This window comes from Homo sapiens, chromosome 10 (genome assembly GCF_000001405.40).
Source record: "Homo sapiens chromosome 10, GRCh38.p14 Primary Assembly".
NCBI lineage: Eukaryota > Metazoa > Chordata > Mammalia > Primates > Hominidae > Homo > Homo sapiens.
The window spans coordinates 18,659,387-18,687,276 of NC_000010.11; the positions used below are offsets into that span (position 1 = coordinate 18,659,387).

General features: G+C 38.4%; 1 protein-coding gene across 3 annotated transcripts, besides 1 other annotated feature; it reads left to right on the plus strand.

Annotated features, from left to right (window-relative positions):
- Positions 45–22,253, plus strand: ARL5B (ARF like GTPase 5B). Of its 3 annotated transcripts, none has more exons than NM_178815.5 (6): positions 45–297; positions 7,189–7,249; positions 9,144–9,291; positions 13,236–13,319; positions 14,598–14,749; positions 15,782–22,253. In NM_178815.5, the coding sequence occupies exons 1-6, from the start codon at positions 252–254 to the stop codon at positions 15,828–15,830; spliced, it is 540 nt and encodes a 179-aa protein (NP_848930.1). In that variant the 5' UTR covers positions 45–251; the 3' UTR covers positions 15,831–22,253. The 3 variants fall into 3 exon arrangements, with proteins under 3 accessions (NP_848930.1, XP_005252457.1, XP_005252458.1); XM_005252401.5 differs by lacking the exon at positions 45–297 and adding an exon at positions 341–506; XM_005252400.2 differs by lacking the exon at positions 13,236–13,319.
- Positions 134–213: a silencer, noted in NCBI's record as "silent region_2184". NCBI's record gives its function as "represses an Ori minimal core promoter by ATAC-STARR-seq in GM12878 lymphoblastoid cells {active_cell/tissue: GM12878}" and the evidence as "EXISTENCE:reporter gene assay evidence [ECO:0000049][PMID:35858748]".
- Positions 22,254–27,890: the final 5,637 nt, after the last annotated feature.

The window sequence follows — 27,890 nt, forward strand, 5'->3', positions numbered from 1 at the left end:
TAGGTGGGTACAGACCGAGGGGACTACGGGTCGGCGTTGGGCTCAGTGGGCTCGAAACAAAGGGCTGTCCGGTGGGGATTCGTCGCGGCGCCTTCTGAGTGGTCGGGTCGAGGCTTCTCGGCCTAGCAGTGCCCTCGCTGCGCGATCTCAGGCGGGTTCTCCTCGGCTCCGCGCAGCCCGCGCCGCGGTGGGGGACCCGGCGCAGCGGCACCTGCTGCCGAGGGACCCCGCGGCCCGCCCCGGTGCTCGTGATGGGGCTGATCTTCGCCAAACTGTGGAGCCTCTTCTGTAACCAAGGTGAGAAGAATGGAGCTGCGCGGCGGCTCGAATCCGAGGCAGAGGGTCCCGCCGCCGATGGGGACACCGGAGACAGGGGACAGAGCGTTCGGAGACGCGGAGGAGGAAGGGACTTAGGCCAGGGGGCGGGCAGAAACTCAGTGTTTTAGACCTGGAGGACGTACAGGAGAGACCTGACGTGTGGGAGAAATAGGGAGGCAGAAGAGAAGGTATTTGGCGTCCCAGAATCCAAACTGAGAATGTTTGGATATTGGCGAAGTAAAGCGGGATACAGCTAATGATGCCAGGAGGCGTATGGAGGGCCTTTCTCGTCTTTATTGAAGCGTGCTTGTGTCTATGTGTATCCCCAGGATAAGTGTCCGCCCAGAAACCTAGAACTTTTTTTTTTTTGAGTAATGTAGGTGCTTTGTTTTCCCGCCCTGCAGTTTGAGCCGTAAGCCAGTGCACTTTCACTCTGATTTCGCCTCCTTTCCTCTAGGACTTGGGAATGAGTTGTCCTATTCAGATGCACGAGTTTTCCAGCATCTTCATTGTAAACTTTTTTTTTTAAAGCATTTAGTTCAGAAACTAAATGCTTTTCGGTTTTGTGTAAGACGTTACGTGTCCGTAATTAGTCTGTAACAGGTAATGAGACACCTGGAAGTGGCAGGTCCAAAGGGCCGAGAAGTTGCAAAACCTGTTCTGAATCAGAATGAGATGTGATGTCTTCTGAAGAGAGAAAACACCCAGACCAAAAAAGGGGCCGACGATAAGTTAAAGTTTGAGGCGTCCTTTGAACAGAATGGTTTCTTAGTAATTGAAACCAGTTTTGAAAATCAACTCGTTTCATTTTACATTTAAGAGCCGGGCATCGTTAATAAGCCAGTTTTATTTCCTTTTATGTTGGTACCAATTTGTTACTGCTAATGTAGGTATCTAATCTTTTTCTGGATTTAAGAAGTTGTGGAGGTAATGGAATGGCTTTAGTTGACTTGTTCTGTAGATTGATAAGAACACTAAAGCAGTCTTTTTCAAGGTTATAAATATAGATACAGGCACACACATGTGTATATATATGTATATGCCTGTATCCAGTAACCACAGATAATATTACTTATCAAATGATTTCAAAGTGAGCAGAGCTTCACACTTTGTGGGTATTATCCATACATTTAAAATATTATTTTTATTTATTTATTTTTTGAGGCAGAGTCTTTCTCTGTCGCCCAGGCTTCAGTGCAGTGGCGCAATCTCAGCTCACTGCAACCTCTGCATCCTGGGTTCAAGCGATTCTTGTTCCTCAGCCTCCCGAGTAACTGGTATTTACAGGCACCCGCCACCACGCCCGGCCTATTTTTGTATCTTTAGTAGAGACAGGGTTTCGCCATGTTGGGCAGGCTGGTCTCGACCTTCTGACTTCAGGTGATCTACCCACCTCGGCCTCCCAAAGTGCTGGAATTACAGGTGTGAGCCACCGCGCCCAGCGGTAAAACAGCATTTTAAGACATGCTTAAAGGTATAAAGATTAATACAAAAATCACCAGTTTTCTCTTTCCCCTGAGCTGGAGAATCGAAACGTTACCGAAGTAGTTGGTTTTCCCTTTATATCCTTTCCCGTTTTCCTTTCTCCCTTTTCTGTTACATGGCTGCTGTCTTGTCTTTTTTCGTTGGAGGTGTCCTTACTCAGACTAGAGGTAATAAAAGATGTAAGGGGAAAATGTAGATGGTGATGAAAGACATCCAGTGGCTACTTTTATACTCGCATAATTGTTCAGGCCTCCTGAATCTCCATTTCTACTTAGAATTTTTCTCTTCCTCTAACTTTCCTGTTGGAAAATTTAGAACCAGTGATTATTCTGTTATTTTATTCTTATTCATTCATACAGCCATAGGCCAGTCTTCAGAGTTTAGCATAGGAGATACAAAATTAAAGAATAAAGATACCTTACTTCTTGGCAAAGTATTCAAACATCAATAAACGAGACAAACATGAAAAAAAATGCAGTGTGGTAAATTATTTAACAGATATGTGTAAAAATATAACGTTGGCTGCAGCACAAGGTATACTTGGACGTAATGTAATGATGAGTAGGAATTTGGGTGGCATGCTAGACAGACCGAATAGAAGGGACGTGTTATTCTAGGCAGAAGAGCTAATATGCAAAAGGGAGAGGAATGAGCTAGTTTGGTACTTTTAGGGAAGCTGAAAATAGTTGAGCTTGGCTGTGTGTTAGTTTGCTTGCGAGGAGTGAAGAGGAGATGAGATTGGAAAGACAACCAGGAGAACCTTATCACAGAGGGCCTCCAGTGTTGACTAAGACATTAAACTCTCTAGAGCAAGGAATGGGACTCACTGAAGGGTTTAATCCACAGATGTATCTTAGCCTATATTTTTGTTTTCTGCATCAACAAAATTAACTACCAATCTCAGCATTTTCCATTTTTGTAACTATATTTATCTATTCCAGTGGAATTAGATATATTAGAATAACAGGCCCAAAGCGCCACCTCACACCAACTAAATTAGATTGGGGTGAAGAGGCCTGGGCATCACTGCCAAGGTAAATCGAATGTGCAGCCAGTGTTAAGAACTACTGATCTTACTTTATGTGCTCCTTTCCCGTGTCTTTCTTCCAGTATTTCCACATTCTCATCCTTTTTTTTCCTGTAGCATTTTAGAGTCTCATGCGTCTTATAAATTAGATACCTTTCTGTGAATAAGTATACTAAAGCGTGTGTTGTCTAAGTAAAGCAATGTAAAAGTTAATTCCTGCAATTTTGTATTGTTTGAACTGGAAGCCTGTTTACTTCGACAGTTATTATTCAAGGAAATAATTTGGAATTCTGATTATCTCTGCAAACATTTTATATGTTAATGTAGTTCTGTGAAATACATATGTGTTATGTGTGTTTGATAGCTCACCTCTAAAGTTTTGCATTGTTTTTTAAATTTCTTTTGAACTTTTGTAGGCATAGTCTTTTTCTCTCAGTGTTATGATTGTGGAAACCTGTCATCAGTTATTTCTTTTTTTGTTGTTTGTTTGTTTTTTTTTTTTAATGAGATGGAGTCTCACTCTGTCACCCAGGCTGGAGTGCAGTGGTGCGATCTCGGTCCACTGCAACCTCCATCTCCTGGGTTCAAGCAATTCTCCTGCCTCAGCCTCCTGAGTAGTTGGGATTACAGGCGCACACCACCACTCCGGCTAATTTTTGTATTTTTAGTAGAGGTGGGGTTTCACCATGTTGGTCAGGCTGGTTTTGAACTCCTGACCTCAGGTAATCCGCCCGCCTTGGCCTCCCAAAGTGCTAGGATTACAGACGTGAACCACTATGCCTGGCCCAGTGATGTCTTTAAATTTTATTTATTATTGTTATATTTTCTGTCACCCAGGCTGGAGTGTAGTCCTGTGATCTCAGCTCACTGCCACCTTTGCCTCCCAAGTTCAAGCAATTCTCCTGCCCCACCCTCTGGAGTAGATGGGATTACAAGCACCTGCCACCATGCCTGGCTAATTTTCGTATTTGTAGTAGAGATGGATTTTACCATGTTGGCTAGGCTGGCCTCGAACTCCTGACCTCAGGTGATCTACTCGCCTCCCAAAGTGCTGGGATTACAGGCGTGAGCCACTGCACCTGGCCAGTTATTTCTAGTGTTACCCAGAATTAAGAACAAATGAAATACAGTTTTAATTGTAGTTCTTTTTCAGAACCATGTAACAGTAACATCTTAATTTCATAATTTAATCATTTCTTTCCAATCCATGAATTTCATGTTATCATTTTGAACACTGGTTGCCAATTGCGTATGATTATTGTCCTTTACTTCTGACTGCTCAGATCTCAGATCTTGTGGCTCACATTTCTCTCTTTAGCTTATTCTGCTCTTTTTTTTTTTTTTTTTTTTGAGATGGAGTCTCTCTCTGTCGCCCAGGCTGGAGTGCAGTGGCGTTATCTCGGCTCACTGCAAGCTCTGCCTCCCGGGTTCATGCCATTCTCCTGCCTCAGCCTCCCAAGTAGCTGGGACTACAGGTGTCTGCCACCACGCCCGGCTGATTTTCTGTATTTTTAGTAGAGACGGGGTTTCACCATGTTAGCTAGGATGGTCTCGATCTCCTGACCTTGTGATCCTCCCACCTCGGCCTCCCAAAGTGCTGGGATTACAGGTGTGAGCTACTGCGCCCGGCCCCAGCTTATTCTGCTCTTAACTCTGGACTGTAAGCAGGTTTCAAACACACTAAACTTAAACTTATCATCTATCTGCATCCTGTCTTCCAGACCATTCTTTGTTTTTGTTTTGTTTTGTTTTGTTTGAGACGGAGTGTTGCTCTGTCACCAGGCTGGAGTGCAGTGGTGCAATCTCAGCTCACTGCCACCTCTGCCTCCCAGGTTCAAGTGATTCTCCTGCCTCAGCCTCCCAAGTAACTAGGACTATAGGCACCTGCCACCATGCCCGGCTAAGTTTTGTATTTTTAGTAGAGACGGAGTTTCACCAAATTAGCCAGGTTGGTCTTGAACTCCTGACCTTGTGGTCTGCCCACCTCAGCCTACTGAAGTGCTGGGATTACAGGTGTGAGCCACCATGCCTGACCTGGCTAACTTTTTTCTTAAGAGATGGGATATTACTGTATTGCCCAGTTTGGTCTCAAACTCCTAGATTTAACTGATCACTTCTCCTTGGCCTCCCAAAGTGTTGGAATTACAGGTGTGAGTCATTGCACCTGGCCTAAAACATTCTGATTTACTGTAACTGATAGTAACAGTAGTGTCTTTTTTTTTTTTTTTTTTTTTTTTTTGAGATGGAGTCTCGCTCTGTTGCCCAGGCTGGAGCACAGTGACCCGATCTCGGCTCACCGCAAGCTCCGTCTTCCGGGTTCATGCCATTCTTCTGCTTCAACCTCCCAAGTAGCTGGGACTACAGGCACCCGCCACCATGCCCGGCTAATTTTTTTGTATTTTTTGTAGAGACAGGGTTTCACCGTGTTAGCCAGGATGGTCTTGATCTCCTGACCTCGTGATCCTCCCACCTCGGCCTCCCAAAGTGCTAAGATTACAGGCGTAAGGCACCACGCCTGGCCTAACAGTAGTGTCTTAACCTAACATTTCCTCATGTTAGGGACCTACCTTTCAAAATGGTGCATTATTGGTGAGTTTTACCATCACAGGCCTTCAGTATTATGTGAAGCATCATAGTGCAAAAGTGAAGCAAGGAGCAGGATTGTTTGCAAATGACCTGGGTCTTCATTTGAGTTGCTTCAAGAAGGAGCCATCTGGTACTGTCCTTCCATTCCTTTCTCCCAACAGGATTATCTGCCTTCAAGTTTTGCTTATCTTTAAACTAGTGGCTTCCTTCTCACCACTGCAGGCATGTTGTTTTCTGTAGATGCTTGGTAGGTGGAGCTTCTAGCTGTCACCAAAATTTAGAATGCTTAGTGCCAGGCAGTCTGTTTGTTCCTCACTGATAAAGGTTCTTGTACTTTAAGGGATAACAAACAGGGTAATACTTAAAGATTAGCTTCATTAGAGGACATGTAGCCAAGCTTGGTGGTGTGCACCTGTGGTCCCAGCTATTCAGGAGGTTCAGGTAGGAGGATCACTTGAGCCTGGGAGGTCGAGGCTGCAGTGATCATGCCCCTGCACTCCAGCCTGGGCAACAAAGCAAGACCCTGTCTCAAATAAATAAGGAGAATTATAGTGAGTTATACTAAGCAGGCAAGTTTTGTTTTGTTTTACAAAGCAGCTTCTACCATAGTGAAAATAGCCCTTCCAGAGGACCGTGTCTGTTTATCCTGCACTGTAATAGGCTGTATCTAGAGTGTGTAGGTCATTGGAAGACCTGCACATCTCAAGAACTTAAATTTTCTTGGTCCCTCTTTTTTTGGCTGATGAAGTTTAGAACTTCAGAGTAGGAATATGAGCTGATAGTTGATTATATGACCAGAATGTTGACATTCACCAGAGGTCATCAAGAAGAGCGGGATTCTGATATGAGATGTGCCCAATCGTTGCCTACAAATCAACTGTGTTGTGATTCTGTGGAAACTTCCCTACTTACCCTGTTGATGTTAACTTGTAACTTTTTAAGCATTCTTCTGCCTTGGAGAAGGGGATCTTTAGTATACTTGGCATAAGTGAAAATCTAGGAAAGATGGTATCTGGGTTGTTTTCTGTATTCAAAGGACATTGCAGAATATATACCACTTAACGGAATAATTAGATGAGCTTTAGCAACTACTTATTAAAAGAGGTGAATATTTAGTGCATGGCACCCAAAGGAGGAAAGAACTGAAGAGATTTTCATTGTACAAAGAGCAGAAACAGAATCTGCTCAAAAGAACTGTAGAAGCCGGTTGAAAAAATGTTAAACAATGAGTAATTGTGTAAAAACTTGAGAGTATATGTTTGTCTTTGTGACACATGAAACGTTTCAATTTTAAGCTTACATGGGATTTTTAAGTGAGAGGAAGAAACAGATCCTGGTATACATAGGTGGGGAAACTTACAGATATGAAAACATTTTGATAAAAAGCTAACTTGATTGGTACAGAGCTAAAAAGGTGTGTAAAACAGGCTTTTTAAAAAACTTACATTTAGGTTATAATTTTTGCCTAGATTAATATTTGGGTCTCCTCTCCCCTAGATGCAATATAAGTGACCAACTTTGCTGGTGTTTCCTGCCTACCCATCTCCCACATTCTTTTACATGAGAACTAGACAGAGAATCAATGATAATTGATTTTGTTACTTAACCTAGGTAGCCTTAACATCATAACATTTCTTTCTGCATTTTAAGTCTAGTGATAGATATTCAGTGAATGATTCTCATTAATGAGCTAACTAATAATCATTGTTGAAAGCATGTAATTGCAGTAATGCAGTAGTGTTAAATGTTTATGATTTGCTTTCTTTTTGTAGAACACAAAGTAATTATAGTGGGACTGGATAATGCAGGGAAAACCACCATTCTTTACCAATTGTAAGTATGGGTGTTTATTAAACAGTTTTCACTAGTTATTGAAACTAATGTGTTTACAATTAATAAGAGATGCATTATAATAATGACGGAAAAACTTAAATATATGTTTTTTGTTTTTTGTTTTTTTAATTTTACCGAACACAATCTATAGAAAAGTGAGTGAAATAAACATTTGCTAAACCCTTCACAAACACTTATTGTTTTCTGCCCTCGAAAGAAAGAAATTAATATTAAATAAATAAAGCGCATATTAGAAGTGCTGGGGTGAGGTGATAAAGTGGATTTCACTTAGTTCTTACCCCACTTGGGTTTATGTAAATAAATTGATAGCTCTAGGAAGCCATTGCTACCCTCCTGACTAATAGCTTTGGAATTTTTTAACATAGCCAGACTTGTCAAAAGAAATGTGATCACTCCTGAAAATATTGCTGTAGTAGCTTGCAAGAGGGAGAGTCTTGAGACTTTCAGAGAAATCTGTTAATACCTTAGGAAATTTTCACAGCTCATCATTCCACTTGTCAGAGTACCTTCCATTATCCTTTCAATGCCAATGAAATGATAGTATTAAGCAGTAGAAGTGGATCTACCAGGCACTTTAACAAAATAGTTCTACAGTTCTTTGCCCCATTGTGTGGCTCTTACCTCTTCCCACTCATGTTGCATTAGAAGACAGCCATCAGCTCACCAGAAGTACTTCATTAGCCAGTGATTAACGCATTTTTCAGCTACTTTGCTAAAAAGCTACTGACTTAAAGTTTGTTGTTTCAGAGTTGAACAACTACTTGTTTCTCTTGAAAACATTTTCATTCATTGGTGATTATGTGTTTAAATATGAATTAGCTTTTAAACATCACATATAAACATTTCAGAAACCTGTCATCTTTGTTGAAATAATTTTACACATGGCTTCAAAAATATACATAAAACCCAAGAGAATTGCAAGCCTCCTCCAACACAGTAGTGACATGTTACTGGCAAGGGCATATTTGTTGAATTAATTGATTAATGTAGCTTTACCAATGATTATGATAATACGAGGGGTATGAGCATCAGTATTCTAAATATATATATATATATATACACACACACACAAACACACACACACACATATTTGAGACAGAGTTTTGCTCTGTTTCTAAGGGTGGAGTGCAATGGCGTGATCTCCACCTCCCAGGTTCAGGCGGTTCTCCTGCCTCAGCTTCCAGAGTAGCTGGGATTACAAGCGCCCACCACCACGCCCTGCAAATTTTTGTATTTTTAGTAGAGACGAGGCTTCACCATGTTGGTCAGGATGGTCTCAAGTTCTTGACCTCAGGTGATCCACCCAAAGTGCTAGAATTATAGGTGTGAGCCACCACACCTGGCCTTCTAAATATATCTATAGTTAATTTAAATTTTTACTTGCCCATGGTCATCTTTTTAGGACTACTTTAGATTAATATGCCTGAATTAATTTTTGTGACTAAGTCTCAATTTAGACAGTCTTCAAAATTATAGATAGCCTGCTATCCAATATTTGCTATTTTGCAATCACCTAGAAACTTGCTTTTCAGGATGGCATGGGACATTGGGTCTTATCTAACTGATAACAGGGCATGGTGGTATTGGAATTTTTGGCCACAGAAATGCAAATTCACACCACACTGTTTCCTTTCTTTTCCATCAAGCTTGCAATTCCTTCCGTTAAAAAAAAAAACAAACAAGAAACAAGTCTTTCTTCTGGAGTTGTTATCTAGATATTGATTTGCGCAAGTGTTCTCCAGGTTTATAATTTTCATGCTAATGATCACCATCATTGGTGCAGAAGGTTGATTGATCTTAAAAATACAGAGATAAAAGTTGCTTCAGATTCTCAAGATTTACAAGAGCTTTTACGGTGTCTGTTTTTCAACAGCTTAATGAATGAAGTGGTTCATACTTCTCCAACCATAGGAAGCAATGTTGAAGAAATAGTTGTGAAGAACACTCATTTTCTTATGTGGGATATTGGTGGTCAGGAGTCTCTGCGATCATCCTGGAACACATATTACTCAAATACAGAGGTATGCTAAGATGAATTTTGAATTTTAATCCAAAGGTCCCTAGAGTAAACATAGAAAGTAATTAGGCTGCACCTGGGCGTATTGACAGTTGCCTTTTTTTTTTTTTTTTTTAAGACGGAGTCTTGCTCTGTCGCCAGGCTAGAGTGCAGTGGAGTGATCTTGGCTCGCTGCAAGCTCCGCCTGCTGAGTTCAAGCCATTCTCCTGCCTCAGCCTCCCAAATAGCAGGAATTACAGGCGAGTGCCACCACACCCGGCTAATTTTTGTATGTTTAGTAGAGACCGGGGTTTCACCATATTGATCAGGTTGGTCTTGAATTCGGGACCTCGTGATCCACCCTCCTTGGCCTCCCAAAGTGCTGGGATTACAGGCTTGAGCCACCGTGGCCGGCCTTTTAATAAGATCCTTTTTTGTAGGGAATTTGGGTTTCCTTTTTTTAAAAAATAAATAAATAAAAATTTCATAAATGAGACTTAAGAATTTGGGTTTTCGAATAAAAGAAAAGGCAAATAGAAAGATTGTTTGGAGCTATTATTACTTGAGTGCTTACTGTTTGGCCAGGTTCTCTCCATTCATCTTCACAAGATTTTCATGTCTCCAGGGTTGGAGAGATCTGACACGTGGAGATATTATGTAGGTTTCCCCAAGATCTCACAACTTTCTAAGAGACCCTGACCGGTGGAGGAATAAAATATTTTATTAATTTAAAAATTTTTTATACCATGAACATTCAAAATGTTGGTAGATTTTTTTTTAATTAGAAAAAAGTAGATTTGCAAATCATCTCTCAAAGTTCTCTGCCACTTATGAGTTCAGAGCTAACTTGGGGAACAAACCTGGATATATTCATGTTCTATTTCTGCTTTTATTTCTTATTAGAGGCAGATTTTTTTAAAAGCCATTCAATGTAGTTTAGAGAGATTTATCCTTGATAGTATGATTTCACAATTGCATCCATTTAATTGTTCTTTGCAAAGAAGTACACCTAACCAATTATTTTTTTCTAAAATGAAACCTTTTAAAAATTGGAGTTGGGCCAGACACGGTGGCTCACGCCTGTAATCCCAGCACTTTGGGAGGCCGAGGCGGGTGGATCATGAGGTCAGGAGATTGAGGCCATCCTGGCTAACACAGGTGAAACCCCGTCTCTACTAAAAATACAAAAAACTAGCCGGGCGTGGTGGGGCAGACTTGTAGTCCCCAGCTACTCAGGAGGCTGAGGCAGGAGAATCGCTTGAACCCAGGAGGCAGAGTTTGCAGTGAGCCGAGGTGGCACCACTGCACTCCAGCCTGGGTGACAAAACGAGACTCTTATCTCAAAAAAAAAAAAAAAAAAAATTGGAGTTGGAAGGGAAGAGGTAGAAAAGGATATAATATGAATAATTTTTGGTGAACAAAGTTGCCTCTTTAAAAAACATGTATTGTTCTAGATTTATATTATAATAGCATGTGTGTATGTGTGTATATATTCCAATGCAACGTGTAAGTAAACAAAGATGGCGTATCATAGATAATCAGAACTTGTGGTAGCACTGAATTATTTTATTGGGTATGCAGAAGCTGTAAGCAAATAATATAGTTAAAGGGTAGCTTATACATTTATACAGTAAAATAATGTTCTGAAACTAGAATAAGTTAGAAAGTAAGGGAAGGGCCAGGCGCAGTGGCTCACTTCTGTAATCCCAGCACTTTGGTAGGCCGAGGTGGGCAGATTGCTTGAGGCCAGGAGTTCAAGACCAGCATGGCCAACATGGCAAAACCCCATCTCTACTAAAAATACAAAAATTAGCCAGGCATGGTGGCATGTGCCTGTAGTCCCAGCTACTCCAGAGGCTGAGGCATGAGAATCGCTTGAACCTGGGAGGCGGAGGTGGCAGTGAGCTGAGATAGCACCACTGCACTCCAGCCTGGGTGGCAGAGTCTCGCTCTCTCTCAAAAAAAAAGAAAAGAAAGTAAGGGACAAATGACATTGTAGCATATGATTAATTTAAACATCAGAGCTGTTAGTAGTTTTAAGCTCACAGTTAACTCCAGCTGTGAAAAGGGCAGTTATCATTGATGAATAGGTCAAAGTTGATTCTAGTGAATCCATATGTACTTAAAGTGTGTCGAAAGGGTAGTTCTTGAAGTGACTGAAACTCTGGAGGACTTAGCATGGGTCCAGAAAGAGATATCCATTACTGATGCCATTTGCATGAAACGTTCTTTTAATAAGTGATCTCTACAAGAATATCAAAATTACTACAAAGAACAGTGGCGCCTGTCACTTTGCATTTTGAAAATTCTTCACGTGGAAGAGTCCCCCAAAAGCGGTAGTATGTCCATTATAATACAAGAAGTTACAGGTATTAAGTAATTATTGACACCTTCCTCTCATTAACTCACAGTTGTTTCCCATATTCTGTTGATTCCTCCTTTGCCACGCGACATTCTTTCCGTTTATTCCCTTCTAAGCCCAACTCAGTTTATATTCAGATTAGTTGTCTGTTTCCCTAATTTTATTTATTTTTGTTTTTTATTTATTTATTTTTTTGAGATGGAGTCTCAGTCTGTCACCCAGGCTGGAGAGCAGTGCAGCCTCCGCCTCCCAGGTTCAAAGGATTCTCCTCCCTCAGCCTCCGAAGTAGCAGGGACTACAGTACACACCACCACACCTGGCTGATTTTTGTGTTTTTAATAGAGACAGGGTTTCACCATGTTGGCCAGGTTGGTCTTGAACTGTCCTCAAGTGATATGCCCACCTCGGCCTACCAAAGTGCTGGGATTACAGGTGTGAGCCACTGCACCTAGCCTGTTTCCCTAATTTTAAAGTCATCTCTGTAATCTAATTCTACCCTTCATGTCTCAGTTTATTTTGCATCTATCTCCTGCTGTAATAACATCATTTCATCTCATTTCTTAACTTTTTATTCTGTATACAGTGTTCAGCTTAAGGGTGCTTTTTCGCTGTATCATCTCCTCCATCTCCTCCTCCTCCTCCCCCTCACCCACCCCCCACATTTTTTAAAAAATGAGTTAGGGCCTCTCTCTCACCCAGGCTGGAGTGTAGTTGCATGATTCTCAGTACAGCCTCAACTTCCTAGGCTCAAAGCAGTCCTCCCACCTTAGCCTCCCAAGTAGGTGGGACTATGTGCATGGCTAATTTTTATTTTTTGTAGAGAGACAGGTTCTCACTATGTTGCCCAAGCTAGTCTCAAACTCCTGGGCTCAAGCAGTCATCCCACCTCACCTCCCAGAGTGCTGGGATTATATGTGTGTGAGCCACAATGCCTGGCCTATATCTTCTTATTTTTTAATATGCAAACTCCCTTTTTTCATGTATAGCTTTACCAACAGATTTCTCCTCTTTTTTCTGGTGTCTTGCCTTTATTTAATTTCACCTGAATCTCCAGTATATAATGCCTAAGTATATATGTTTCAATCTGGAGCATTTATGGTGGATACTGTTTTATAAAATTGTCTTATTTTTAAAATGCATTTATCTTTTTCTTTCAAACTAGCTTTTCTTTCTAAGAGTTAGGAGATTGTGGTATACACAAGTAAGCAATTATTGACTGTTTAGATGAATGATAATGGAGTACTTTGAAGTTTTAGTGAAAAATATTATTGAAATTAGTGTAAGTTTCTTTTCAAAAATTGCTTTTTACTACCAGCATTTGAAAACAAATCATAGTATTATGTATTCGGGCATCACTTAAAATAAAACAAGTGGGGCACAGTTTTTATTTGTTGAAGCTATGAGTTATTTTCTTACTGTTAACATTTGGATTTTACTGCTTGATGTGGTTCAGTATTATAAAAGCTGTTTATGGTGAAAAAGCAGTAGATGTTTTATAGTAATGATGATGCCATGTAGAGAAAGTACTTAGATTACTTGAGTAGTTTTACAGAAAACTTTTCAGCATCCCATTCAATTTTCTGTCTTTCCTTTTAATTTTCTTCTAGTTCATCATTCTTGTTGTTGATAGCATTGACAGGGAACGACTAGCTATTACAAAAGAAGAATTATACAGAATGTTGGCTCATGAGGTAAATTTTTAAAGTAAATCTTTAAAAAACAGTGTAGTAAAGTATCTGTACGTTGCCTTTGCTTTTTTGCAAAGATTAATGTGATATGATGTTGGCTATTTTATGATTAACACAACTTTATGTACTAAACTGATGAAAGTCTTGAGGTAAAAAAAAATGTTCATTACTTTTTCAAACTTAAAAAACCCTAACACATTAATTTGTAGATTACTACTGTTATTGTAAAAATTTTTCAAAGCTAAAGTTACTTAAGCATGCCTTTAAAAGTCTGATAAATTGAGATAAGCAAAAGGAAAACTTAAGGGTCTTTTCCCCAAAAGTTTCAATAACTGAAAGGTTTTTTTTTTGTTTTTTGTTTTTGTTTTTGTTTTTTTTGAGACGGAGTCTTGCTCTGTTGCCCAGGCTGGAGTACCGTGGCGCGATCTTGGCTCACTGCAACCTCCGCCTCCTGGGTTCAAGCAGTTCTCTGCCTCAGCCTCCCGAGTAGCTGGGATTACAGGAACCCGCCACCACGCCTGGTTAATTTTTGTATTTTTAGTAGAGACAGGATTTCACCATCTTCGCCAGCCTGGCCTTGAATTCCTGATGTCGTTATCCGCCTGCCTCAGCCTCCCAAAGTGCTGGGATTACAGGTGTGAGCCACTGTGCCTGGCCTGTATTCCATGTTTTTCAAACTTATACTATATAATATATATCTTTCTGAATCTTGCTCTTTTTGTACAACATTGTGACTTATCCATGATAATATATTCTGATTATCCATCTTAATATGTACTGCTTTCGTTCATTCCTTTTAACAACTGTATAGTTTTCCACAGTATGAGTATATCACAATCTATTCTTCTAATGTTTTCATAGTATAAACAATGCTGAAATGAATATTAACCAATGACCTTATGTTATACAAAGACTAGTAAGTAATAAGTATTGCCCAGCTCCCACCACCAGTACTCTTAAGTTTTGGATAAACTCTAGTATTTGGCAACATACTACCATATTTGCCTATTAGAATATTAATTATGTATTTTTGAGTCAGTATTTAAAATTCAGGTGTATTTTTTTTTTTCAGTTTGACCAGTTCGACTCAAAAATAAAAAATAATTATTTAATATTAATCTGTTGGAATGAATAATGAAATTACGGGTATTTGAGATTATTTTTATGTTAAATACTAGTGCCCGATTATGTTAAAGTAGAAGCACTTCATTATAACTGTTCAGCTGGGTAAATTTAAATTGTGGTATTTCACATATTAGAAATATTTTGTCTTGATTGCAGGATTTACGGAAGGCTGCAGTCCTTATCTTTGCAAATAAACAGGATATGAAAGGGTGTATGACAGCAGCTGAAATCTCGAAATACCTCACCCTTAGTTCAATTAAGGATCATCCATGGCACATTCAATCCTGCTGTGCTCTCACAGGAGAAGGGTAAGTTCATCCGTCTGAGGGGAGGTATGACTTCTTTCAAATTTCTTCCAACTTTTTAGGCCAACTTGTTTTCTTCATGGGTCCTGTTCCTTTTCTGTTTGTTTGTTCTTAATTAAAGGTGACTTTTATAATGTGTCTCAGGCTTACAACCTAGAAATAATTCTAGTAAAATCACTGGCAACTTAAAAACTTTTAATGTAAATATAATGTTTTACCAAAAAGCAATAAACTATTGAATTGAGTTTTCATAATCCAAATTTTTTTCTTTGTTGCCTTTATCATATACTGAGAAAAAAACTGTAATGTCACCTTTCTTTTAAAAAGGAAGCTTGAAAGAAATTTCACATTTTCTGCAAGGACTTAAACCTGAGCTCTCAGCTTTCTGCAAGAGTATGTCTTCTTTATTATTAGGAGGTCTTTTGGGAGGCATATTTCCAGACAATAAACAGTTGAGACAAATGCCACATGGTCTATTCTTCCATCTCTAACAATTTGAATGTGGGTATTAGGCCAAGAAGAACCGAATGTTATTTAAGTATTATCCTGTTTATATCAGAGAACTTATCCTCAAATCAACCTCACCTTCTTAGTTTTTCTCTTAGTATTTATCAGAAATAGCTTGCAGTAATAGCTGTGTGTAGGCCTTTTTGACTCATACTTTTAAGACTGAGTCTAAGTATTCCATTCTTTAGAATTGAGGAGGATAAGGTGAAGTTGCTATTGACTTTCTCCAGTCGTTAAGTTTCAGTTAATTTTAAAAGGCGGGGAGTATTTGCACTCTTCATGGCAAAACTGGCAAAGTTGTATCTTCAAGATGAGACTGAAGCAATTTCCCACAAACTGATTAAGAATATTTAAGAGAACATTCCATTTAAAAATTTCACTTATTATAGTGTGACTTGAATGTTGACACTGATGTATATAAATAATGATTGTGCTACCAGCCTTTGGTTAAGACCTAAAAATAATAAGTACGCTTTCAGTTTTTAAGTATAAGGTTTTTAATTAAAAATACTTCTATCTTTTGTTTAGGTTATGCCAAGGTCTAGAGTGGATGACCTCCCGGATTGGTGTGAGATAACTTTTTTGCTTGAAAGAGACTGCTCTATTTATTCTGTGACATGAACATTTTTTCCTAGTACCTTTGGCTGCTAAGGCAGCAGCATGTTTAATTTATAACAACACAAACCTCTGAGAGCAACACTTGAATCAAGTGCAGCTGAACTGGAACATAAAAGATTTTTTCTTAACTTTTTTTTTTTAACACACTAATCTTCAGTTGGATGAATGTAATGTATAACTATGTTTTCAGCAACAATTCTTCTGTTTATTCTAATTAATCAGTGACTGCCTTGTAAGAAATGTTTGTCATATGCGTGATGTCTTCTGAAATATTCTTATAACCTTAATGACCAATTGCTTTCAATTCTTGACCAGCACTCCCTCCCAACCAGAGAATTACTGGTTTGATAGAGTAGTCTTGGAAACCATCAGGTACTGCCTGCAGACTTCTCCAGCACTAAATATATTTGTTCCCTCTATAAACCATTCATCTTTCGGACAGAACTTACTGTAAAGAAAGAAATCTGCCTAGAGGATATATGTAAGGAAGATTCCACATCATGAGTACTTGCCTTTTAACTTTCCCCCACATTACTGTTGAGTCATGGAATAATGTTTAAGTTGTTATTTGCATGGAAATTAAGTAGGCTGTTTATTTATCTAAAGGAATCAAGTCCACTCTTCTGCCTGCAACATTTGTTCAAAAACTAACCAAGGTAAAATATTTATTTGAAAGCCCAACTTTGATGTTAAATATTCTTGAATAAATCTGTTATTTTAAGAATATCACATTATTCAATGCATATAAAACTATCAGAAGTTAGTAAATCATACCAGCACTAAAAATAAGACAATTGGAATATATTTTAGCATCAGTTTACAAACAACTTTATTATCAACAGAAATTTTAGCTCTTTTCTTTGCAAGATATATCACAGCTGCTTTGGGCAGTAGCTGAAGCCGAAGTATGAACAGTCCATTTTGTTTCTTAAAATTTGAAGTCGTGTCTGTCATAGCATTTTTACTACCAGCAGTATGTTACTTAAAAAACTACATGGCTTTCCTTGAATTTATTTGACGGTATTATGTAATAGACTTGAAACAATTGCCATCTTTGTAGTTATGCCTTGGGTTCTAAAATGTTATAGGAAACTGCTGAATTGAATCCTAGCTTTTAGAATATTAATAGGAGACTCAAAGTTAATATTCTTAACAACTTAAAATTAAAAAAAGTCATAATCTATCAAAAGTTTATTTATTGGATGGCATTAAAACATTTTTGAGGCAGTTGTCTAATATGAACAATAATCTAAACAATATATTCCTTAAATTAAGAGGAAAGACAAGTGTCGTATTTCGATCCTGTTTATTCAAATGTGTGATTTTGCTGAAATGAAAGGGATAAAATGAATACTTAGAGAATAATACTTCATTTTTGCAGTACTTTTTAATTTTGATAAAAAAGATACAAAGTTCATAATATCAAAATATGTGTTCAAAATTGGTATTTTAATTTTAATATTTTTGTAAGTTGATTTAAATTTTGCTCTTTTTTCAGGTGTGCTTGGTTTATTATATTTAGTCAAGTTAATTTAGTCGAATGTGGTAACATTTTTCTGATTTATCTTTAGTTGGAGCACACCCTTGAACTGAACAGTGGCCAAAGGAAAGCTTTCTGGGCTTTGGAAAGTAGTTGTTTAACTTTGTTTTAAGCCGTTTTCTTAGTGATTCTGTATCAAGTAGAGGATAAGTGTAGTTTAACTTAGTTTTTAATATAACCCATAATCAAGAACATGAGCGAAAAGCAGACATAAATCGATATGGATGGTTTGTGGTGTGTGTGGGATGTGGGGGAATTAAGAAAATGCCATTTACCTAAGCACAGTTTGCCTGAATTTCTGCTTGGTTGTGTTGTTTACCGTAAGTACTGAGGGTAGTTTCCCTAAGTCTGTCCTGAGAAAAAGCATACTTAGTACTCCTGTATTTGTTCTTATGAAATGACTATCTGCCTTCTTGTATCTAGTAAGATTGGCTGGCTCAATTTTCTTCTGTCAAATTATATGGTTATTTTTTATATTACCACATCAGCATTATATTAAAAGTGTTTTTAATAGTTGATTGTATTTTGCCAACTACTAGTATAGACTCAAATTTGCTATTTAATTTTTAAAATACAATTTATTTTGTAAATCCTTTAAAAAATATTTGGTTAGTTTTGGATTAGAAATGATTTATGTTAGCCATGTGTTGAAGATGAAATTGGCATCAGTGTAGACGGTGCTGATTGGGAAAAGTTCATGATTAGGAAATTCATGTAAGACTTTTTAAGAGTATTTTTTAGGTTTTCACTCAATCTTTCCTGTCACAGTAACGTGAAAACTGATTATTCTTTACTCCAAGAGAATGTTTTAACCCAAGCAAGTATCTAATACTAGAGCATTGGTTCTGACATTCATTGTAAATCAGTGAACTGTAAGATACTGTCTAAAAAATGTACATTTGTAATTAGTGCCTTTATTCATATTTTGAAATAAGTTCTTAGTTTTATATTATACCTGTTCTTTAGAAGTCATGTTAGCAGCTAATTATTTCAGTGATGAAATAATTTGTGTTTTATATCCCCCTTCACCTCCATGTATTGGTTAGCACAGTTTATAGTAAGTGAAAAGCAAGGGACCCACCTACATTACCTTCAGGAGACTGTTCTACCTTTTAATTTGAAAACAAGGAAATTAAATTTTAACAGAAATCTTTTAAGTATGTTATAACCAAAGTGTTCAATTATCCTTGCAAGTTCAAATACAGCATTTTTCTTAATTTTGAGCGTGTCATGTCCTTCATCTTTAAACCCATCATTCTTATTGAAGCCCATTTGAGAACTCTTAGAATTAATAGAACCTTTTATAAGGGAATATATGGAATATTTTTTATTGTTAATGTAACTTAATTCCTTAAAACCTGGAATATTAATATATATAATCTATTAAAAGCTGAAGATTAAATATGTAATTTTTGCTTTTAGTTTCTTGTGTTAGTATGCTTAAAGGTATCAATACTTTTATTCTATATTCATTAGAAGAAAGGTAATAAATTTAAGTTTCATTGCTGAAAAATTTTAAATGAGTGCCACCCCATAGCCATAGTCATTTTGATTAAGCATAATTTAACTTTCATTATAGCATAAAGAGAAAATAATTATTTTAGTATGGAAACAGTGATAGGCAGTGCTGTAAACAATATTCTCTGAAAAGTTGTGGGGGTCACAAAGAAAATTTTAAAGAATATAGAAGCTTTTTTAAAAAATCTTTTTAGTGTAGTTTCTTAGAACAAATTATAAACATAATCATTCTGAATAATCAATTTTTATTTAGTCCTTAACTATGTAAAACCGTATCAGTAGAAAAATGTGCTGGTGTCGTGTCTAAAGATGGATAAATTTCTTTGGAATTTATCTTTGGAGACCAACTTTATGAGGCAGACTTTTTGTCTACAGCTTTGGAACCAAAAAAACTTCACTCTAATTCAGTCCTAAAGGCTATTTTACATTTTGCCGGGGTAAAGTGACTTCAAGATACAGCATGGTGTCTTGTATCTAGTAGAATATTGTGCTAGCCATCTAAAAAAGTGGATTTGAGCCTTAATTTGGCCGTTTCTCAATTGTCTAGTTGACCTTAGACAATTAGTGTCCATGGCTTTCCTTTTGTTTTTCCCATACTGAGGAACTTAAACTACAGCTCTAAAATGTCTTTTGGTTTTAAAATTCTGAATGCTTATATACTACTATTAAAAATTAAAAATCCCTCAAATAGTAGGGCAATACAGGTAATATGAAATTAAATGTATTTTTATCCATTATTTGATTCCCACCTGTTATTTTATTTAGAATACGAATACAACCAAGTAGGGAAAAACGTATCAGTAACTGCTATTCAACTTAAATTCAGCGAATTAATAGCTGAATAGAAATAGCTAATGACAATGCAAAAGAGAAAACAAGCCATATTGCTAAGAAAAGGATAGTAAGCTGCTTAGAAAGAACCAGCCTGTGTTGGAAATAATTCTCTTCTAGATAATTTACCTTATTTTCTTGGCTTGTACTAATTGAATGGAAGTGGTTAATTTGTTCAGAGTTTATTGCCGTTTGATGCCACCCCAGTCTATAGTTCTGTGTGACTTTCCATATTGAAAGAGTAGGGTTAGTAGCCAGGTTGTCAGTCTTTTACAAATGTCTACATAAATGTCTACATAAATCTGAAAGTGGTTTATATTCAAGGTTAGTTTTTCAGTAGCGTCTCCTCCTTATTCATTCACTTTTACTGTGAAGACTGAAATCCAAAAGCCAGGTTCCCCAAAAAAGTATTTTTAAAAAATTTTAGGGGACCAAAATAAATAGAGGAAGACCAATATAAAAAAATATGTTCAACTATTCCATTTTAAATTTAAAGCAGAAAAAAAAATTGTGCCCCTCAGACCTAAAGGCAGCTTTAAATGTATATAGTTTGGTGAAACATTTGGGAAATATTAATTTGGAGGTTTAGAAGCATACGAAAAACAAATTCAAAGCACTTGAAAGTAAAGACAATATCATGAGGTCGAAAAAACTTCAAAAGGATATTAGGTAAGAGAAAATGTGAATGAAAGCAGTGAATTTCTGCCTCTCCTCGTATTTAGGGTACTTAAAATTACTAAAAAATACTGTCTTTTTACCATACAGCTAGATGGCCTGTATTATTCTTAATGTGGCCAAAGGAGTGAAGACTGATTAGGGTTTTAGAATTTGGAACTGTAGTCACATAAAGGCATCTTTTGCATTTCTTAAACCAGTAATCTACATTTTCTCCTGGAAATGGAGAAATATGAAATGTGCTGTGCATAGCTTTTGGAATAGAAAACAAAGTTTTAAAAGAATGGATATGTTTTCTTGCACAACTTGTAAAATTTTAATTAAAAAATTACCTCATTTTTCAATCCATAAGGTGCTTTGCTCAAGTTTGTGGGATGTTTGTACCATCCCATAAAAACCCCCTTCACCCAAACTGTATTTGAAATATGCAAAATTCATAACTAAGGGATAGCATTCCTTGGAGACTTTGTTTTGTTTTACTCTTGTTTACCAGCTGGGCCAACATGGTAGATATATGAGATTCACATATGGTTTCATTAAAGCACATAGGAAAGTGCTCAGTCAATATTTAATTAGTTTAATTAGATAAGGGAAAGGAGAAATCCTAAATTTGATGGATTCTTTTATACTGTGAATATATTTCCATCAGTGTTGGTAAGATATCAAATGACTATCAGTTGATCCCAGTCATCAGTGACTTATTTGCATATTTAAGCCCTATTCACAAGAGACCATAATCATTTTAATCTTATATTTTCCCTCAGGAAATTTAGGGACTCTGAAGCCCCTATTTTATTCTCTTGGAGTAAACTGTTGAGTGTAGTTACAAAAACTTTTATTTATGACTTAAAAAAAGTTTAGCTGCTATTTCAGTGAAAGTGTAAAATAAAACGGTCATGATTTTTTTCAATTACAGAATAGTTACAAATTTTACCATGTTCATCTATTCCACAGAGCATGTTAAAAACAACAACAACAAAAACCTAACAGCAATTACAACCTTGGTGTTGCGTTTATTCTAATCAGAGTGAATGATTATAATCACACTTTGCTATTTTAACATAAATTGGTGCTTTAGAGCATTAAAGAGGAAGCAGCAGGCCCTGTACTCAGTATTTATTATTTCTTGCCTCAGAATGCAAAACAACTTTAAAGTGTCTATATTCATATATATGTGCATTTCTTAAGATTTAAATACAAACTGTTGTTACTCCTTAAGCTTCAGGCTTTCTGCGAAAGCTCTAAGAATATCTTCATTACTATGCTTGGTCAACTGGAAGATGGTATTAATAAGGTCAGAATTAGGAATTGGATTGCTCTGTGGGTCCTCCGGTATTGTGCAGAGGAAAGAAAAATGTCTTTCACACCACAAACTGTGTGTCTGAACCCCAGCCAAACAAATGTGTTCCATTGGTCCAATATATAAGCATTAACAACAACAACAAAAAATTTAAAACAAGTAAATTAATGCATTCACATGATCACTTCTTGAAAATGGTTCAAAGCATGTTTTCCTGATGGTGGGATTGTTTAAATGACATGTTTTAAAGTTTTTAATACTTTATTAGTTATGAAGTGCTTCTTTTATATGTTAAGTTTAGGTTGCCAGTACTCATAATTTTTATTTCTGCAATTATGTTATAATGAGTTGTTTGCATGCCTACTTAACCCAAGTAAAACGATGCTGTTTGCTCTGGAATGTTCATCTTTTAGACAGGTTTTGGCTCATTTCCAATCATGGTGCAATATAGTGTAACATTCATTTGTTTTCATTCAACAGTTTTATTTTTGTCATAATAAATAATTACTTTTCCAATACGAAGTGAATCCAGTGTTTTCTTTTAAAGGTAAATCTGCTTTAAGTTATTTGCTTGCAAATAATAGAAACCCACCTATGCCAACAAAGAGAGGATAATTGGGGTGAGGTGGTGGAGGCTCACAGAACCCACGGAACAACTGGATTTGTAGAACAGACTGAGACTAGAGACTGGACCATTTAGGAGCAAGCAGGAAGTTACCTTTTTTCCTGCTCATCTGTTTCTGTCTTTCACCTGACTGGATTTCTCTGTTTCCTGATCCACATAACAGATAATGTCCCAAGTCCAGTAGCCTCCTAAATTTGTACAAGGGAGAAGTCAGATTATTGTTAGACTTTCAATTACAATTCCATATTCCCCAGGGAAATTGTTCATTAGCCTGCATTGGGTCATTTCCTCTCTCTGATCTAAACAACTGGCCAAGTGGAAGGTGCATTTACCAGAGAAGGGGAATCCCTGGCCTGGGAAGGTGATCCGGATTGGTGTGTACTCCATTGTGGGGTATAATTGGGATCATCTACCAAAGTTGTGTCCTTGTAAAAAATAAAATAAAATTGAGATCTAATAATGAGTGGGATAACATTTTCACTATGTTCATTCTTCACATTCCTCTAAAGTGGTTTTAACTCCACCGTTTTTGCTCACAGACCTCTTTGGGAATGTGATAAAAGTTGCCTACGTAGAAAAATGACTCATAATTACAGAGTTAGGAATTTTGAGTAGAAGGTTAGGAATTTCAGGTACCTAGGCTTAAGAGTTCTGCTACACACGGAACACTCAGATTTCTTCTGAAAGACACCAGAAACTAGTAAGATTTCATTCTGCCTGTTATTTTTTAATCAGTAAACTTAAGATTGGTATCTTTTTTAAAGCATGTTTTATGTAGGTATTTTTGTAGGTATAATGAATGCATTAAACTGTTCGTGGTTAAAGTGTACAATTTGAAAAGCTTTGATGTGTATACATTTGCAAAATCTTCACCACAATCTGGGTAATGAAAATACCTGTCACTCCAAAAGTTTCCTAGTGTCGCTTTGTAATCCTCCCTTCTGCTCCACTCCCCATCCGCAGATAATCACTGGTTTTGACTAATTATCCCCAATTTTGTGATTTAAAACAGTCTAAAATTAAGGTGCCAGCAGGGCTGTGTTTCTCCTCAAGGTTCAGGAGAGAACTCATCCTCACCTTTTTCAGCTTTTAGAGGCTGTGTGCATTTCTCGGCTCATGGCCCCTTCCTCACATCACTCCACCATCTGGCTTCTGTCAACACATCTACCCATTCTCATCATCCTATGCTTTTCTCATATTAAGGACCCTAGTGTTTCTAACTAGGTTTTCCTTGATAATCCAGGATAACCTTCCCATCTTGAGGCCCTTATGCCAGGTAAGGTAACACATTCACATGTCTTGGGGAATTAATTCTACTGCATGTGAGCTAAAAGAGCATCCTGAACAAAACCCTCACATGCTGGCAGGTGGCCACTTGCGATACTGGCTCACTGCAACCTTTGCCTCCCAGGCTCAAGTGATCCTCCCATCTCAGCCTCCCGAGTAGCTGGGACCACAGGCATGTGCCACTACACCCGCGTAATTTTTTTGTACTTTTTGTAGAGATGTCCCGCCATGTTCCCCAGGCTAGTCTCGAACTTTTGGGCTCAAGCCATCTGCCCGCTTCGACCTCTCAAAGTGCTGGGTTTACAGGCGTGAGCCACTGTGCCCGGCTCATACACTGATTCTTGATTTAACCTTTCTTTGTTTAAAAAACCCTTCCTACTAAGAAATATGTATACTCCTCAGCAAATTTGAATTCACATCTGAGATTTTTGACCTGACATTTTTGTGAGGACTTGGAGATTTGATGTTGCTATACTTGAGGATTATTCTGCAACAGAAACAAATGTAGTTTCAGTTTGATAATAACAATGAATGCACGTCTTCCAAAATGGGATTGGCTGTTTTATCACTTCTTTCAAATTAGTCACCTTATTTTGGCAGATGACACTATATGACTCAACATCAAGATACTTCATACTTGATAGGGATCATCTGATCTATGGCTCTGTTCTGAATTATGGTATTTTCATATTCAATTTAAAATAACACTGCAACCTCTTCTTCCTGGGTTCAAGCAACTCTCATGCCTCAACCTCCCAAGTAGCTGGGATTACAGGCATGCACCAATTACAGGGAAATTTTTTTGTACTTTTACAAAAAACTGACCTCAGGTGATCTGCCCGCCTCGGCCTCCCATAGTGCTGGGATTACAGGCGTGAGCCACCACGCCCGGCCCAGATGCATGTGGTTCTAAAGCTGTTCACTACCAGGGAGAAAGGTTCAAGAAACTTGAGCTCTGGCTTCGTTTTCTCTTACTGACAGAATGAAAGGGAAATGAAAAAATTTCCTCCATATATGCTTTGCCCAAAAACAAAGTTCAGGGGATGCATAGGCATAATGGAAGTCACTTGGCTAGCAACGGCAATTTGTATTCAGAACAGGGACCCTGTGGCTCAGAAGAGGTGGAGAGAAAAGGCTTGGAGAAGGATTTCACATTCTGAGGGAATTCTTAGCTATATGCCTGCCTGAGCTAAATAGGAACTCTAACTCCCTCTGCTTATAAACAAAACAAAAAGCAAACACGGATGCAAACAAGAACAGTGGCTCCTTTTCAAACCTGTTTTTTCTTTCCTTGTCAAAGTTATAATTTCCTTTGAGAAAATTATAACTTACATGACGTGCATGAAACAATGTGCACAATTTAACAAATCAGTAACTTGAACATATGTCCCCACCACTTATTATTGTATCCAGTATTGCTCTCTGGAAATGGCCAGCTTCATGTGGTTGTAGTTACCACCCTCATTCAAAAGTACTTGAGACCATGTTCCACCTCTGAGGGTTTCCCAGGGTGAGATTAGGGCTGTGGCTGATTCTACCCCCAAACCCACAGAATGCCCCAGTGATAGTTATATGTATGACTGTGGTAAGGAGAAATTTGATAGGGAAAAAGAGACGTTGATTTCCCATCCATCTCCTTTATTTCCTGGAGCCTGTGGCATACATGAAACCACCATTGCAAAATAATAACTGAGACAGTGAAAGAGATCTGACCCAACCAACTCCATCTTTTAAGAGCTTTTAACCTCCAAGCTGTCCTTGTTCATTCCTGGGAGCTGGCTGAACTAACTTTGGGAGGAACTCAGTTTATAGTTTGAAACAAAAACGATAGCCCTTTCCCAAGACAAATCCCCTTCTTGGCTGGTGACTAGACTTCCTTTGTGGGACTAACACATTAGCCAAAAGATTAGAAATTATTGTTTAGGAGTCATGCAGCTGTAGGCTGCACGATTCTAAACCTCCCCAGATTGCTCCTGGGGATAACATCACTATTGTAAAACCTAAGATCAGTGTTTGAGATATTTTGTAGACCCTGCACTCAGTGGATCAGCAGGCACCACCCAGATCAATAAACTGGCTCTTGTCTTGTGGTCCTCACCCAGGAAGTGACTCAGGGCAGCTTCAACTCCCTGTGATTTCATCTTTGACCTGACCAATCAGAACCCCCGATTCACTGGCCCCCTACCTACCAAATTATCTTTAAAACCTCCAGTCTCTGAATTGTCAGGCTGTGCATGGATTACTCTTTCTCTATTGCAGTTCTCCTGTCTTGATAAGTCATCTCTGTCTAGGCAGCAAGCAAGGCGAATCCACCTGTTGGGTGGTTATATACAGATTGTTCAGGTCTGAGTTAATAAGGAAAAACAAAGAATTACAACAATTCAGCCCTGATTAATTTTGCTGAATGGTGGAGTCCTCAGTAGAGTTATAACTTCCAGTGACTCCAATGAATCCCACTCTGTAGACCAGCCCCTACATTTCTAGATGAGACTCCTTTGATGATAACCTACCAGTAAGACAAATTGTGGTGCACTCTCTTAATGGGAGAAACTAATAACCCTGCTTTTGATGGGGAAGGGCCAATATGGGTATGCGCCCATAAAACTGAGAATAAAAAGGTTTTGTACTCCAGATTCAAGAAAGGAAAAATACTGTCTTTTTGCTATATCCCTACAGGTAAGAACGACAGCCCCACATGAATGCGTACGTCTCTGACAATCAATCAGTGACGAATCAGTGACGAGCCAATGCTTCAGAAAGTCAGCCAGTCAGTGAAAGTGAATGATCATGCTTCCACTGGGGGAATTTGATAAGAAGATTGAAACTCTTCCAATTCCCTGTGTTCCATTCAAACCGTATTTTTGCTCATAGAGACTAACCCTTAGAGTGATTCTCAAACAATGATGTCAGCATCAACTAGGAACTTGTTAGAAATGCAGATTTTCAGACTCCATCCCAGACTTTTTATATTAGAAACTCTCAAGGTAAGGGCCCAGAAATCTAGTTCAACAAGCCCTTCAGATGATTCCAATGGAAGTTAAAGTTTGAGAACCACTGCCTTATAAACCCAACTCTTCCTTGCTTTGGAAGGAATATCTGTTTTACATATTCACTGGTGGCCTTTTGCTTTAACAAAGTGAGACCATTATTATTTCTGGAGGAAAAGTGAAGAGATGGACCGAACACACTGTGCAGGGAGAAAGCTGGTGGAGGGGACAGGGTGGTGCTCATCAGTCATAGGGAAGAACCCTGAGAGAGGAAAATAAGGGTTCCTCAGCTGAACATATATTGGGAATTCAGATAGAATACACTAACATTAGCCATAGCAACCCAAGCTTGCTGGACTTAAAGTAGGAAAAAGAGCCTGGCAAACTCCAATCTGAGAGCCTGGAAAATGGCAATATCCAGCTTTATTTTATTTTATTTTTTTAGACAGAGTGTCACTCTGTCGCCCAGGCTGGAGTGCAGTGGCGCGATCTCTGCTCATTGCAACCTCCGCCTCCTGGGTTCCAGCAATTCCCCTGCCTCAGCTCCCGAGTAGCTGGAATTACAGGCATGTGCCACCACGCCTGGCTAATTTTTGTATTTTTCAGTAGAGGTGGGTTTTCACCATGTTGGCCAGGCTGGTCTCAAACTCCCGACCTCAAGTGATCCGCCCACCTCGGCCTTCCAAAGTGCTGAGATTACAGGCATGAGCCACTGCACCTGGCCCTATCCAGCTTTTAAGGTTACTTTATCTCCAGGCTAGTGGTGAGAGTTAATGAGACACAAACCCCACCCAACAAATGGGGTGACTGGGAATATCCTGAGAGTGAATAAAAGCCTTTTATATCCTTAGCAAGCAGGTTTGGGAGAATGCAGAATCAAACAGTTGCCAGGGATACCCCTTTCCTTTTTTAAAAAACAGACTTTACTCTTATTTTGTTAAATTTTTATTTTATTTATTTATTTATTGACGTGAGTTTTCACTTTTGTTGCCCAGGCTGGAGTGCAATGGTGCGATCTTGAATCAGTGCAACCTCCACCTCCTGGGTTCAAGCGATTCTCCTGCCTCAGCCTCCCGAGTAGCTGGGATTACAGGCACTCGCCATCATGCCCGGCTAATTTTTGTATTTTTAGTAGAGATGGGATTTGACCATGTTGGCCAGGCTGGTCTCGAACTCCTGACCTCATGATCTGCCCACCTCGGCCTTCCAAAGTGCTGGGATTACAGGTGTGAGCCACCACGCCTGGACTAAAATAG

What these genes read in the sequence shown, in the direction of transcription:
- ARL5B (NM_178815.5), top strand. Translation starts at nt 252, where the DNA reads ATGGGGCTGATCTTCGCCAAACTGTGGAGCCTCTTCTGTAACCAAG. An exon ending in GAGCCTCTTCTGTAACCAAG is followed by an intron (nt 298 to 7,188) that starts GTGAGAAGAATG and finishes TTCTTTTTGTAG; the next exon opens with AACACAAAGTAATTATAGTG. An exon ending in CATATTACTCAAATACAGAG is followed by an intron (nt 9,292 to 13,235) that starts GTATGCTAAGAT and finishes ATTTTCTTCTAG; the next exon opens with TTCATCATTCTTGTTGTTGA.